Raw genomic sequence first — 15,170 nt, 5'->3', positions numbered from 1 at the left:
GCGGGGCCTCGCCACAGAGTTTTCCATGACCCCGCGGCACCCACCGCAGCTTTCCCACCCCTTTCCCAGCGGCGGCATTCAGGAAATGGTCCTGCAGATGTCTCTTCTGATGTCTCTTCTGATGGTGGTTGGGCTCAAGGAGTTGGCCTTGTGGAATTTCGGAAAGAGTTCTGCAGTCACCCACTGACTGTGACCCATCCTTGACATCATTTCCCTTTCACTGGATACTTGGTGAGCTCTGGCTTCAAATGTGAGGGCTTTCATTCCCTGAATGATTTGCAGTCTGCTCGTAAATGGAAATCTCGAGGCGCTAGATGACAGAAAGCAGCAGCAGGGCCATCGTGGTCCCGAACGCAGCTTGCCCTGCACCTCTCAGCCACTGCTGCGGACTCCAGCCAGTCTGGAATGGTGCCTAGAATGCTTGGACTGCAAAGGCGACGGGGGTCCTGTCCTGCCCAGTAACCTTTCACTACCTCTTAAAGTTTTTAGGATTCGTATGTGGAATCCTACCTCATGCTGAGCGTCATGTTATGCAATTGGCTAGTTCAGCATCCCATGACATTTTATTGAATTCAAACACCATGAATGAATAAAACAATTTCATTGCCTGTGAAGAAGTTACAGGGTTGAGGTGGAGAAGGAATTGCAGTTTCCCTGATAAGCATTGCTTGTTTCCCTTGGATGCACCCAGCACATGGAGGCTGCCATACCCAGTACACTCAGTGCTCAGTACCAAACCCGGTACCCGTACTCATTCCGTGCGTAGAGGAAGCCCCCGAGAGCTGGCAGCATCTCTGTGTGTGCTTCAGTCCATTGTGAAGATCCGTGATCCTAATATTTCAGATTGGAAAAATCCATTAAAATTTTGATTTAAAGATATGGATTCCATGTCAGCCACTGAAACAGGCCTTTGACAGTAAGAATTTTGATGACTGCTTATTCTAGGTATATTTTGTGTTAACATCAGTTTTTGTTGTTGGTAATTATATTTTCCCCCCACATTTAGAAGCTTCATGCTATTTTAACTTCAGCTGTCCTGGGTATTTGATTTGTATTTGAATTTCTGACTTAGCTATGACGGAAGCTTATTAGAGTATTTGCTTTCCTGAATCATGAACTTGTTTCTACAAGCATTGGAAGAGGAAGGGAAATAATTGGGTATTATAAAATGACTTTCTATCCACGCATTTTAAGGATTTTTTAAAAAGTATATGCTTGCTTTAGATAATGCATTAAGCAAGAATTTTAAGTTGCTCCATGCATGAAACCCTATTTCATGCCTAATTTACAATGCCTAATTTTGGTGCTAAGATTATTCTCCATGTTGTATTCTTTCATCTTTATAGACAATGGCACTTTGTTCTCCCTCCACAAATTCTGAATTTCATCATTTGGGGACACAGCAGTAGTCATCTCCGGCTTTGGCGTATGATTTTCCTTTTTTGATCAGTGCTCTGCATTGCACTGATGTTCAGGAATGAGAGCACAAGGTTCAGCTGCACGAAAACTTTCTGTGTAGTATTTTTCAAGTTTCTCGTTTCTTTCTTCCATTTTAAATAGTCTTTGCTGTGACAGACAATGGTTGTGGTTTTCATTTTTGCCTGACATGAAGTCTGTGGCCGCCATGGATTTTTGGACCTTGCCTTGAGCACACCATGGGAAACAGATGATCGAGGGTCCTGTTGCTCCCTGACTCTAACTGTGCACATTCTGCCTTGAGCTCCAGTGGAAGTGGGGGGTCACTGTGGTCACGTTAGTAGCATTGCCAGTTGCAGCTGCAAAGTCTGGCTTGGACCCTGCTAGCTCCAATAACCTTTGCACAACATGTCCAGCTCTTTGCTCTTCTTACAATCCTGGTGGAAATGTGCTAAAATCTTGGAGGAATAATTTGGCCCCATACTGCATGCTGGTCGCCAGCTAACTGTATAGCTGTTTAAGTGCTTATTCTGTCCGTTTGCTCTGCTCTGGTTCCCATAATAACCTTGGACAGGGTACAGAGTATTAGATTATTCGTGTGCACTTTTATCTGGACAAAAGATTAAGAACGTTAAAAAAATATGTGGGGAATGGCAAGAACCATGTCCATGGAGGAGTCACTTCCTTCTTAGCTCCTTCATTTCAAAGCTCTGGGGATACACAGATTGCTTAAACTTTCTGGTGACATTTGGGAAAGAATGTGTTCTTGCGGTAAAAGCAAGGTCTGGGAATTTGGATTTCTGTGTTCTGTTCCCAGCAGCACGAGGGGTCACCCAGTGACGTACGACAAGTCAGTTAAGCATCGGAATCTTAATTTCCCTATCTGTGAAATGGACATAGAAGGGTCGGTACCTTGGGCTGACATGAAGTTGGTGAATTGTTTGATGTTCTGCTGGGAACCGGCTTGCTCTAGTGACCCAGAAAAAACAGGGACTATGGTGGAGGCTGACCTCATTTCTATTTCTGGCTGTAGTGCTGACTCAGTGAGAAACTTGTAGAAATCAGTTAATCTGGCTCTGGTCCTCAGTGCATTCCATGGTTAAATTGAGAATTATAAAATCTTATCATCGCTGGTCTCATGGCGATACTGCCCATATTAATTAAGTACTAAAAATACTCCACCAAATGTATTAGAAAGCTTCTACATGGACCTGCCTTTCTCATTTCCTTCCTGTCTGATGTTGGGTTACTTGGGGCTACACAAGTCCATATTTATTTATTTATTTTAGCCGCTGTTTGGAGTTCAGTCCTATTCTGGTTTGAGCAGACTTTTCCTATATCCGAAAACTGGGTGCCCCAGATTGGTGACCTTGTGCACTGTAACTCCTTACAGCAGGATTTTCTGCCATTGTGTCCTGGGGCCATCACTGCAGGGTGTATTTAAGGAGCTCTTCATTTGAACAAGTCCTGGTCTGGGAATGTTTTTCCTTCCTCACTGTCACAGGCCTCAGGGAGAAGGAGCCAGCCTTCCCTGTCAAACCTTGGGATCAGGGCCCTCGTGGAGTCACGTCTGTGCTTCTGGCCGACTCCCTGGATGCTGCTGGCCTGAAGGGGCAGTGCCACAGTATGGGGCTTGAGGTTCTTTAATCCATTTACTGTTTGATTCAATTCTTTAGGGTTTGAAACAATCTCTCCCATATTTATCCACATACTGTGTCTAGACTCCTGACATATCCTTTCAACGAAACACAGCTCTATGGAGGTGTGGCGGCTGAGTCCCAGGTTCATAACGTCCTTCCTGCGTTTGTAAAAATGGAGCAGGCAGTTAATTCACCAGTTAAGTGCCAGGACTGGCTGAGTGGTTTGGAAAGAAGGACGACTTTGGATGTTTATGTTATGTGGTGTGTAGCTTGTCGGTTGATTTTTACTTTCAACTAATGCAACTTTGAGAAAGGCACTGAACACTAAGTAATCCTGCCTGTGATCTCCAAACTGTCTGCCTTATGTTTTTAAATCAGCTAACAATGGTTACTGAATCTACCCAATTCGTATGGTAAGGCTGCACTGAAGTCCACATGCTGTAAAGTAAATAGGTTTTCTTGATTTCTTACAATGGTTATGGGTTGTTGTTTTTTTTTTTTTTTTGAGACAGAGTCTCACTCTGTCTCCCAGGCTAGAGTGCAGTGGCATGATCTTGGCTCTCTGCAACCTCTGCCTCCCAGGTTCAAGTGACTCTCCAGCCTCAGCCTCCTGAGTAACTGAGATTACAGGCGTGCACCACTACACCCAACTAATTTTTGCATTTTTTAGTAGAGAAAGAGTTTTGCCATGTTGGCCAGGCTGGTCTCGAACTCCTGACCTCTGGTGATCTGCCCGCCTCTATCTCCCAAAGTGCTGGGATTACAGGCATGAGCGAGCCACCGCACCCAGCCCAAAAAATACTCTTGAAAGACATTTCTCATTAAAGCCCACCATCACCCCATGATGGCCCAAGGGAGGCTAAGCATCTTGCATGAGGTGCACACTGTGGACTCTGCCCACCCACATCTCCTAATGGTCTCTAAAGAGGAAGACGTCTTGGAGGCTCCATCACAGAATCTCAGCACTGAGGCTGTTGCTAACAAGAGAGTTCCATTGATTGAGCGAAATTATAACCAGTTCAGTGAAAAACACCTCGCTATTTGTTACTCTATTTACCCAAGAAATTATTTGGCATTAAGTACATATAAAGGATTGTGCTAGGAATGAGATATAAATATTTCCTGCCCTCAAGAGTTTAAAACACAGTAGAGCAAAACCACCTGAAGTAGTCGTTGCTATCTGTTTCCAGACACTCACTGTGGACTTGCGCAAGGCTGGATGCTGCTTAGATTTATTATGGGAAGTGGCTCATAGGATTATAGAGGCTGAGGAGTTCCATGATCTGCCGCCTGCAAGCCTGGGAACTCAGGACTCCTGAAGTGTAACTGGGTCCAAGGCCAGCGGCTGGAGAGCCCAAGGGGCTAGTGGTACAAGTCCCTGAATCTGAAGGCCAGAGAACCCAGAGTTCTGATGTCCAAGGGCAGGAGAAGATGGGTGCCCAGCTCCAGAAGAGAGAGAATTGGCCTCTCTTCTGCCTTTTTGTTCTATCCGGGCCTCAACTAACAATGACACCTGCTCACCCTGGGTGAGGGCAGATCTTCCTTACTGTCCATGTATTCAAATGCCCATCTCTTCCAGAAACACACCCTCAAAAACACATCCAGAAGTCATGCTTTACCAGCTCTCTGATTATCCTGTGACCCAGTCAACTTGGCACCTAAAATTAGGCATCACGGGCCAGGCGTGGTAGCCCATGCCTGTAATCCCAGCACTTTTGGTGGCCGAGGTGGGTGGATCACCTGAGATCAGAAGTTCGAGACCAGCCTGGCCAACATGGTGAAACCCTGCCTCTACTAAAAATACAAAAATTAGCCAGCGTGGTGGCGCACGCCTGTAATCCCAGCTACCCGGGAGGCTGAGGCAGGAGAATCCCTTGACTCAGGCAGTGGACTTTGCAGTGAGCCGAGATCGTGCATGCACTCCAGCCTGGGCAACAGAATGAGACTCCATCTCAAAAAAAATATATATATAGCCATCACAGTTGGTCACCAATTCCTTCCTCTGTTCTTTACTGCTGCCTTTTGCCTGACTGATGTTCCTCTTCTGTAGGGTGAAAGAGGCCTCCCGGGGTTACAAGGTGTCATTGGGTTTCCTGGAATGCAAGGACCTGAGGGGCCACAGGGACCACCAGGACAAAAGGTAAGCACGGCTGTGGGATTGGGGGTGGGTGGATGTAAGATTGCCCGCATTCTTGAGATAGCGGTGATCAATGACAATGGCATTTCTATTCTGTTCCAGGGTGATACTGGAGAACCAGGACTACCTGGAACAAAAGGGACAAGAGTGAGTACAGTTGCTACTCACAATCGATGATTCCATGCGTGGGACAGGCCCGCTTCCAGAGCCGGGCACCTTTTCCCTCCTTTCTCCTTGCCCTCGTCCTCCATCTCCTCTCCCAGCTCACACAGCACGGGCAGGCAGGCGCGAGGCAGGCAGTGAGGAGCAGCCCGTGACTCCCTGAGCCCCAGTCCTTCCCATGGGGACTGTGCACAGGCTGAGCTCCTTAGTCCTTGGTTCTGCAAACTTGCTTTCCCCCATTTGTTCTTCTTCAGGAATCTCTTCTGGGCATTTTTTAATTTGGGGGAAGGGGCAATTGATGATGTGTCCACAGTCATTAGACAGAGATGACTTCATTTAATGGAAAAGTCATGGTATTTTCAGAGCCAGCCTTGCTCTTCCTCCTCTCCACCTCTTAGTAATGATGAAATGGGAGCAGAGTTATTTTGTGCATGGGCAGCCTTATGTTTGAAGGGATCAGCAGTCAGCTTTTAAAAACTTATTTTTTTGTTTTTTTTTATTTCAATTTTTTTTGGTACAGGTGGTGTTTGGTTGCATGTATAAGTTCTTTCGTGGTGATTTCTGAGATTTTAGTGCACCTGTCACCCAAGCAGTGTACGCTCTACCTGTTACGTAGTTTTTGATCCCTCACCTCCTTCCAGCCTTCCCCCCACCTGAGTCCCGAAGTCCATTGTATCACTCTTATGCCTTTACATCCTCATAGCTTAGACGCCACTTATACGTGAGAACATACGGTATTTGGTTTCCCATTCCTGGGTTACTTCACTTAGAATAATGGCCTCTAGCTCCATTCAAGTTGCTGCAAAAGACATCATTTTGTTCCTTGTTGTGGCTGAGTAGTGTTCCATGGTGCATGGATTCCACCTTTTCTCTATCCACTCGTTGGTTGGTAGGTACTTAGGTTGGTTCCATATCTTTGCAGTGGCGAATGGCAGTAGTGTGCTTTGGGTGTAGCATTGCTCCTGTAAGCCTGGGCCATCTGCCCTAGGCTGTGCCCTCTGCTGCCTCTTGTGCAGAGTGCTCTGTCTGCTTTGTGTGTGTTCTGACACCAAAAATGAGGGCATGACTCCATTAACCGGGGAGATGCAGGAGGAGGAAGTGAGGCTTCCCGGCTCTTCACTGACACGCTTTTACTTCCGCCCTCACAGGGACCTCCGGGAGCATCTGGCTACCCTGGAAACCCAGGACTTCCCGTATGTATAGAAAACGTGCTCTACTTCTTTTATGAAATATTCTTCCATCAGGCGATTTTCTGCCTGGGTTACATTTTCACTTTCTTCATTGCAGGGAATTCCTGGCCAAGACGGCCCGCCAGGCCCCCCAGGTATTCCAGGATGCAATGGCACAAAGGTAAATCCAGAACCGAGACCCTCCTTTTTGTGTGTGTTTACGTAATTTTTGCATATTAAGGAGTCAGGTAGTGTGATTCTGTTAATAGAGTTTTATTTGCCACAATTGGAAAGTTGCTTGTCTTAAAGTTTGCTTTATTTAGTAAGGAAATACAGTTTTCCCATATTTAGTGTACCAGAAAGATATAATTGTTCCTTTCTTTTTTGTAGACTTTTATCCTAAAATTGCATTTAAGCACGAAAGTTATTACCTATAATCATTTACTACATCACGTAAGAAAATGCCATTATGGGCCTTTGTCCCTATTAATGATACTATCAAGTCTATTTCTTCTTTCATAAAGTGGTACCCAGTAGCACAGCTTGTGACAAACTGTTTTTAGGAAATGATTTTAACCAACAAATGAAGGGTAGGGCAGAGTGATGCATGCGATGTCAGGGCTGATGTGTCTGCCACACACAGTGCGTATGAATGATGCTCTGCTGTCTCCCCAGGGGGAGAGAGGGCCGCTCGGGCCTCCTGGCTTGCCTGGTTTCGCTGGAAATCCCGTGAGTAGAGGTTATTTAGGGCAGAACTTCTTTCTTTTAGTTATGACTTCTCTCTTTTCATTCCATTTCCTTTTCTTTCTTTCTTTGCTTATGTTTTAATAACTTATATTTTATATATAATATTACATGATAACAATTTTAATGCTAATGATATTTTGAGAAAAACAAAACTAACACCAAAACTTTCTTTTTTAGGGACCACCAGGCTTACCAGGGATGAAGGTACATTTTATTTTATTTTGCTTTATTGGATTCATTACAGGGAATCTGTTTACAACAAGTGCCATAGAAGCACATTCTCTTTAAACCACTTTGGCTGATCGATTGTTTCTGAACACACTTCCCTAAACTCTGTTACATGAAAAGACTGTACAAGTAACCCACAAACTCAGATCTCAGACTCTAACGTTCAGACACTTGGCACAGCTTCTTAATGGGGAATAAGCAGCGGAAGGAGGCCTGGTGTGGTGGCGAAGGCTCACTTCACCCAAACTGGGGAGGCAGATGGGAGAATGGGGCTCCCTGGGTGCCTCTCAGACTTCCCAGGAGGGAACCTGGGGCAGCTTTTCCCAGGCGGGGTGTTGATGTCTTGGGGCTCGGCTGCTGGCATCAGCCCGACCTCAGACTGTGCAGTCATGTAATGTGTCGGCTGTGCTTGGGCACAGGGCGGGGACCTCGGGCATCTGGATGTTGGGATCAGCCTTGTCAAAGGGAGGCTTACAGGTCTCAGCAGCTGCAGTAGAGATAACTGCTTACCTGGATGAAGGTGAGAGTCCCTGTGCTCGCTCCTGTGATTCAGAACACGTAGGAAATAGATCCTCATAATAGCCCTGTGTGTTAGCATGCTCCAGAGACACAGAACCAGGAGCATGTGTGTGTGTGGCCAGAGAGAGGAGAAACTGCTTCTAAAGCATTGGTTCTCATGATTGTGGGGGCCGGCAAACTCAAAACCTGCAGAGTGAGGTGGGCAGGCCAGACACCAGAGAAGGGGTGGAGTTGTAGTCTTGGGTCTGAAGGTGGTGTGTGGGCAGAATTCCCTCTTCCTCCAGGGAGGTCAGTCTTTTATCCTGTAAGACCTTCAACTGATGGGATGAGGCCCACCAGCATTATGGAGGGCCATTTGCCTTATTCAGAGTCTACTGATTTAAGTGTTAAGCTCATTTTAAAAATCCCTTCACAGAAACATCTGGTCTGGTGTTTAACCCAATAATGTGGCCTAGCCAAGTTGGCAGATAAAATTTACCATTACGCCGTGCTTTTATAAAAGTATTCATCCTGAGCCTTTTCTCAAAAGAGAATTCTTGTTTTGTGAGGAGAGCCTGTGGTCACGCAGTAGTCTTTCAACCAGAGACAAGGGCCCTTGTCTAGAGTTGGGGGTGGTCCTCGGGCAGTGTGGCAGACCCCTTTGCTTTGCCGTCTCTACATTCAGTCCCGGCTGCGGCTCAGTTGACCAGGCAGTGGTTAACGCTGGCCATTAAGACGGCAATCATGATGGGAGAGATGGCCAGGCTATTGATTTCCAGTGTAGACGGGGTCTAAATCCCAGACTTAGGCTAGTCCTGTAACACTAATATATGCCAACTATCAAAGAGTTTTCAGCTTCTTTACATGAATGTCGATATTTGCAACTTTCTATTTTCTTTCTTCATCCTCTAGGGTGATCCAGGTGAGATACTTGGCCATGTGCCCGGGATGCTGTTGAAAGGTGAAAGAGGATTTCCCGGAATCCCAGGGACTCCAGTAAGCATTTGCTGAATCATTATGAACATGTGCCACCTCACCCTCCCAGTTCGCATCTGAACTCATTTCTTTCTCATGCATTCTAGGGCCCACCAGGACTGCCAGGGCTTCAAGGTCCTGTTGGGCCTCCAGGATTTACCGGACCACCAGTAAGTTTTGGGGGCTGTCTCTCCGAGGCAATCATTTAAAAAACAACTATATTGAGGTTTGAAAATAAATAATAATTTAGTAAAAACTTTACACAGTTGTGGTCGCTCTTAATTTGGACATGGCGGAATCAGCTTCCCTCTTACTAAACGTTTGGCTGGCATCCCGGTACCCATATACCCAGAGCTGTGGGAAAGGGATGATGATAGTACCATAAACTGATACCCTGAAACAAATAATGCAGTCATGGTTGAAGGGGCTGGCGGGGTACTGCTGATAGTCACAGCCTGTGGGAGTGAGTTCAAAGATGGACAGACAGGCTGTGCCCCAGGTGACTTCACCAGGGAGCAGGGGAGATGGATTGGTATTGGTATGGTCACACCTGAGGGTCCTGCACCTGCTAGGAGTGGGGAGGGAGGGGAAGCCCAGGAAAAATATTTCACAAATAAATTATCATGTTGACCAGAGAATCTTAAGATAACGTCAGCCTGAAGAAGGGCTTAAAGCTCCCTAGAGTTCTGAATCCTATTTAATTAAAATGCTGTCTCTCCCAGGGTCCCCCAGGCCCTCCCGGCCCTCCAGGTGAAAAGGTAAAAGTTCTTTTCATTTTTTGTTCTTTGGCATTAGTATAAGGCTATCATGAAATTGCTATAGCTCACTCTTCTTATTCTTTCAGTCTCTAAAAAAAAGTTGGAAAATTAACACTATATCTAACTATACCTTTAAGTATCTATCATATATCATTTATTATCTATTGATTATCTATCAATATATTGATCTTTTCTTTCATCCATCCCTTAGTCAATACTTTGGAATCACACTGATATTTCCCTTAGTTTTCTAATGCAAGAGTTTAAAAACTGTAAATTTTTAAAAAGGTCTTTGGAATTTTTGATCAGTCATACTTTAAAAACTTTTTCATAGACATTGAATTCAGCATGATCGTTACTTTCCAGAAAATTTTATGAGAGTTATGGGACAAAGCTATTGCCTGAAATCTACCATCTTATTGCATTTTGTGTGAGGTTTGTAGAATGACTTTGAACGAAGTAGACAAATCTAATAATGAGAGCCTAATTTTTAATCCACAGGGACAAATGGGCTTAAGTTTTCAAGGACCAAAAGGTGACAAGGTGAGTGCATATTGCTCTGGAGTGCTTTCATGTTGAAAACCACAGTCCTCACCTGACAGTTCCCACCTTTGGATCAATGTCTGGACTCTTACAAGTATAGTTACTCTTCTCTGCATGTTCTTGCATTTGGTAGTTAGTGTTTTCCTTAAAATGCCAGCATTATTGAATTTATTCTAGCTTATTCAGTACGCTAGAATTTATGGAAGTGCTCTGTGATCTGACAAGCAGAGAACAACGAGACTAACTCCAATTATCTGTACAAAGAGTTCAAACTCTTCTTCGTCAGTGATGAGGTCAGACCTAGGATTTATGAGTCAAATTTAGGACTTGACCATTAGATGAGTAACCCTGTAAGCCCTGCAGAGCGGGAGTCCACCGCCAGGAAATTGGGAGTAGCACGGTGGGCAGCGGCCCCTCACCACCGGCCTCTCTTCTCAGAGGCGGGCATGTCCAGGGCCACCACCAGGAGAATTAGGACTAGCACGGTTGGCAGTGGCCCCGCACCACCGGCCTCTCTTCTCAGAGGTGGGCAGGTCCAGGACCAAGTGGGTGTGGGAGGAGATGCAGTGTGGAGCCGGGAGGGCACAGACCACACAGCAGGTGGCTTCATCCTGCAGAGAGGAGGCAAGTGGTGGGTCCCTGATCCTCTCCAGGAGTTTCCCTGGATCAGACCAATGAAGCAGGCACTGGCTAAGAAGGGATGCCTGCCATTGCTGTAGCCAGCCTGTGGAAGGCCAGATTCTCCTCTGACATCCAAGCTGGTGGAGGCAATTACAACCAGAGCGCCCAATACAGTGGGGCCTGGATGGATCTGGATGTGCAGGTGGCCTCTGCTTGCCACCCAAGATTTTGGCCCAGTCTTTTCATAAACTTTGAAATATAGTGACTCTGAAATGTATGCAGTTGTAATTTTTAGGCGTACCCGGCAGTTAGGATGCCCGAGGAGGGAGACTCTTGATGGTTGTCTTATTCTGGGATTACCTAAAATGCCTTCTTTTTTCTCAAGCTCTATTAGGTAGTTTGTATTCCTTTCCTCCGTGCCATCAGAAGCCAGTATACACTATACAGGGGCACGCAAGTCCGGAGGTGTCTTGCAGGTGTTCAGATTCCATGGTTATTCCTGAGCTAGTGGCCACCCATAGAAGAAGTGAAATTCTCCTCCTGGGTTTAGATACTTGTTGTATCATCTTCCTATTGAAATTTGATTTTCTGCAGAGGCAAGGATGATTAGAACAGAATAGAGTATAATTACATTTTAAAAATAGGTGTTTTATTTTAGGCTTTTACCTCTCTCTGCAATTTTTCATGTCTGCATAATTGTTTTCATGCCTAATTAATTTTACATTTTTATGTCGACAGGGTGACCAAGGGGTCAGTGGGCCTCCAGGAGTACCAGGACAAGCTCAAGTTCAAGAAAAAGGAGACTTCGCCACCAAGGGAGAAAAGGTATGAGTGGGCTTCATCAGTGAATACTGATTTTCTAATTTTGGACAAATTCCAAAAGATAAAGAGAAAATGGGTCAAAACTCAGTTTTTCCAGCTACATTCAATCCTGGTCTGGAAAACAGATTTATAGACTGTTCAGTCCATAAAATACGAGCCCCTTTGAGAGCAGAGACAGCTGGAACTGGATTGGTCCAAGCCTGATCTGAGGCTCACCCCGCTGGATCAGGGCTTCTTAAATGTGCCCCAAGTTGGAGATGGCTTGGTCAGGAGGAGGGAGCTGGGCTGGGGGGCAGGAGGGGGGCAGGGCCAGTCATCATGGGTCAAGCATGATAAACCCTGCCCTGCTTACATTTATACCAGTCAATGTCAAGTGAGTGCTGGAGATCAACATGAATTTCTTTGTTAATATATCAGAAAAAGGTTTTTTTTTTTTCTGCTGTGTGTTTAATGCAGCATATAACAAATGATACAGCTGTTTGATAGTGCTGATCTGTCTCTCGAATTCTTTCAGGGCCAAAAAGGTGAACCTGGATTTCAGGTCAGTACTCAGTTTCTGCCTATCATTTTTAGGTCAAAGACCATAAAGATTTAAGTTTCAAGTTTTTTTCACCTTAAGTTTAATATCTATCTAATTTAAATTTTGCTTAAATAGACGAATAAATCTCTTTGTCTTTTTATTCCTTTAAGGGGATGCCAGGGGTCGGAGAGAAAGGTGAACCCGGAAAACCAGGACCCAGAGTAAGTGCTTTCCAAAGTCCTTTTATCATAAAACAATTCTCCTTCCATGCGGAAAATCGCAGATTCACAGAAACACAAGAACAGAAAAGGCTCGTAGGGACTTCTAGTTTATCCCTTTCATGCCCCGAAGGGCTTTTCCGAGACTCTCCTGAGCTATATCAGTTGCAAGGCTTCCCAGGCAGGCGAGGTCCTTCCCTGTTTAAGGATCCAGCACTGAAGGTGCCACCGCCGGCTGTTCAGAGAGGCTTCTGAAGAGCCCTGGGCCATCCCTGAAACCTTCGGTCCTGCTCTGAGAGCAGCAGGTTGGTTGGACTTTGCCACCCAGAACACCAGACAGTGTTTGCACAGCCACAAGCCTGAGAGGCTGAGTTGCTTTTCACTTTAGGGATGGTGGTGGCGTGAGACCCACCCCACTGCCAGTCAGCTGGGATGGTTCTGGTTTCTACCTGGAAGGAGCATGCAGAAACCTGCATTAAATGAAGCATTTGCATAAGCTTGCAAATACTCAGCTGCCAATAGGCAAACTTCTCTAATGTTAGCTTTGCTACCAAGATACAATCATATTTTAGAAGACTTGTAGCTCATCGGACTCTGCTCTTTAAAAATGGAGTTCTCTTATATTGTAACTGTTTCATAATTATTCATCATATACAATATTACTTATTATTGTGGTATTGTCAACTTACATAGAACCCTCATTTACCTTGCTTGTGTTTCATAGGAGAGACAACATATTAAGCTATCTGAATCAGAGCTTTGGTGTTATATCCGTTATTATATATATATACATATATATATATTTGAGACAGAGTCTCACTCTGTTGCCCAGGCTGGAGTGCAATGGTGTGATCTCGGCTCACTGCAACCTCCGCCTCCTGGGTTCAAGTGATTCTCCTGCCTCAGCCTCCCAAGTAGGTGGGACTACAGGTACCTGCCACCACACCCAGCTAATTTTTGTATTTTTAGTGGAGACGGGATTTCGCCATGTTGGCCAGGCTGGTCTCGAACTCCTGACCTCAGGTGATCCACCCACCTCGGCCTCCCAAAGTGCTGGGATTACAGGCATGAGCCACCGCGCGCAGTCTATTATTTATTAAATACTAACGTTTACATCTTTATTCTACAGGGCAAACCCGGAAAAGATGGTGACAAAGGGGAAAAAGGGAGTCCCGTAAGTGTTTCTCTGTGGTTTTTACAAGCAGGCTCACTGTTCCTACCACTGGCCTCTGACGGTTACTGCTTCTCTCTTCGGTTTCAGGGTTTTCCTGGTGAACCCGGGTACCCAGGACTCATAGGCCGCCAGGGCCCGCAGGTAAACGCTGGCACTATTGTGAGCCTTTATCTTCACTTTCCAATTCAACCCAGAAGTCTGTTTATTCTTTCCTAGAATAAAGGACTCTGTACTCAAGGGAAAAAAATCATTTATGCTTCTTCTGGGTAAAAACACAATTTAGTGGTTTCCTTTATGTTCATGATTTTTTACAAAATAAAAATATATGAAATGTGCCATTCATTCAAATTTTTATATCTTTTTTTGGTAGTAGATTATTTTTTTCCTGATCATAAAGCAATAGAAAATACAGAAAGATATCACGAGGTAAAGAAAGCTTACCTAATTTTTTCTGTTACCTGTTCAGAAGTGGCCAGAGTTCGCCTTGTTCCTATGTGCATACACAAGCAGGCAGTTTTTAAAGGTGATAGTGAACAAGACATCTTGCTTTTTCACGTAATGATAGAAGGAGGATCTATTTCAATGGCCGTCAGTGTAATTATGATGTGAACATCCATGCCTTTTGTTGCGTGGTATTTAGGCCATTTCCAAATTTGTATGCTTACAAGTATTTTTGCTCACTTGTCTGGTCATTTCTCTGTCAAATTCCTAAAAGCGTAATATTGGGGTCCACAGTCAGACACTTGTTTTGAAATTTTTGCCACATGCAACCAAATTGCCCCAGAAAGTCCTTCTGCCAGACCAGGGCCCTTTTAGTTGGGGAACTAACTAAAAAAAAAAAAAAATCTAAAAAATATTTGTCAATCTGACAGGCAGAAAAAAAAAACCTCATTATTGCTTTATTTTTCTCTCTTAATATGAGACTAGGTAATGTAAGTCTTTACTAATATAAGAGATAATTTTGGAATAGTCATCACCAAAGGCGAATGGAAAGCTGCGGGGAGGGCCTCAGTAGCCTACGGTTAATTTATTAAAGCCAGGGACAAAAGGAAGAAACCCTTGGCTGTAATTTTTTGAGGAAGTAAAATCCTGTACATTTTAAATGGTAGATATATTTAGAATATAGTGGCTAAGATATTTATGTCCTCTAGATATTTCTAAAATCTTCTGGTATTCATATAAGAAAAATCAAAACATTCAATTCTTGTTTACTGCCTTAATTTAAAAGGAAAATATATACATTCATGGTAAAATGTACATATCTTTGGACTGTTTAAATCATTACGATGACGTTTATATAAAAATATTTGATATGAAAGGGTTAATTTCTTTGAGTTTTTCATCTACTATGGATGAGATTAAACCTTAAAGTGATCAGAATTTATCCACTAATGTTTTCAGTTAATATTAGATTTTACATTATGACCTCCAATGCAAATTTGAGAAAATCTTCACCTAAAAACATCATATAAAATGATTTATTTAAGAAAATGTATTTGGAAATCATGCTTTTATATTATTTTATTTCATTTCTCTTTTTAA

The 15,170-nt window shown here is 44.2% G+C and overlaps 1 protein-coding gene across 2 annotated transcripts in view; it reads left to right on the top strand.

Annotated features, from left to right (window-relative positions):
• The window catches only part of COL4A1 (collagen type IV alpha 1 chain), a 158,195-nt gene that overhangs the window by 88,036 nt on the left and 54,989 nt on the right, over nucleotides 1-15,170 (top strand). For both annotated transcript variants that reach the window (NM_001845.6, NM_001303110.2), the window contains exons 3-17: nucleotides 5,107-5,196; nucleotides 5,296-5,340; nucleotides 6,504-6,548; nucleotides 6,643-6,705; nucleotides 7,200-7,253; nucleotides 7,449-7,475; nucleotides 8,910-8,993; nucleotides 9,080-9,142; nucleotides 9,695-9,730; nucleotides 10,232-10,273; nucleotides 11,633-11,719; nucleotides 12,231-12,257; nucleotides 12,407-12,457; nucleotides 13,584-13,628; nucleotides 13,716-13,769. In NM_001845.6, coding sequence (NP_001836.3) covers nucleotides 5,107-5,196; nucleotides 5,296-5,340; nucleotides 6,504-6,548; nucleotides 6,643-6,705; nucleotides 7,200-7,253; nucleotides 7,449-7,475; nucleotides 8,910-8,993; nucleotides 9,080-9,142; nucleotides 9,695-9,730; nucleotides 10,232-10,273; nucleotides 11,633-11,719; nucleotides 12,231-12,257; nucleotides 12,407-12,457; nucleotides 13,584-13,628; nucleotides 13,716-13,769 — 813 coding nt within the window. The remainder of the gene's footprint in view (nucleotides 1-5,106; nucleotides 5,197-5,295; nucleotides 5,341-6,503; nucleotides 6,549-6,642; nucleotides 6,706-7,199; nucleotides 7,254-7,448; nucleotides 7,476-8,909; nucleotides 8,994-9,079; nucleotides 9,143-9,694; nucleotides 9,731-10,231; nucleotides 10,274-11,632; nucleotides 11,720-12,230; nucleotides 12,258-12,406; nucleotides 12,458-13,583; nucleotides 13,629-13,715; nucleotides 13,770-15,170) is intronic.

This window comes from Homo sapiens, chromosome 13 (assembly GCF_000001405.40).
Source record: "Homo sapiens chromosome 13, GRCh38.p14 Primary Assembly".
NCBI classification, from domain to species: Eukaryota; Metazoa; Chordata; class Mammalia; order Primates; family Hominidae; genus Homo; species Homo sapiens.
This window is presented reverse-complemented; position numbering and strand designations above follow the sequence as displayed.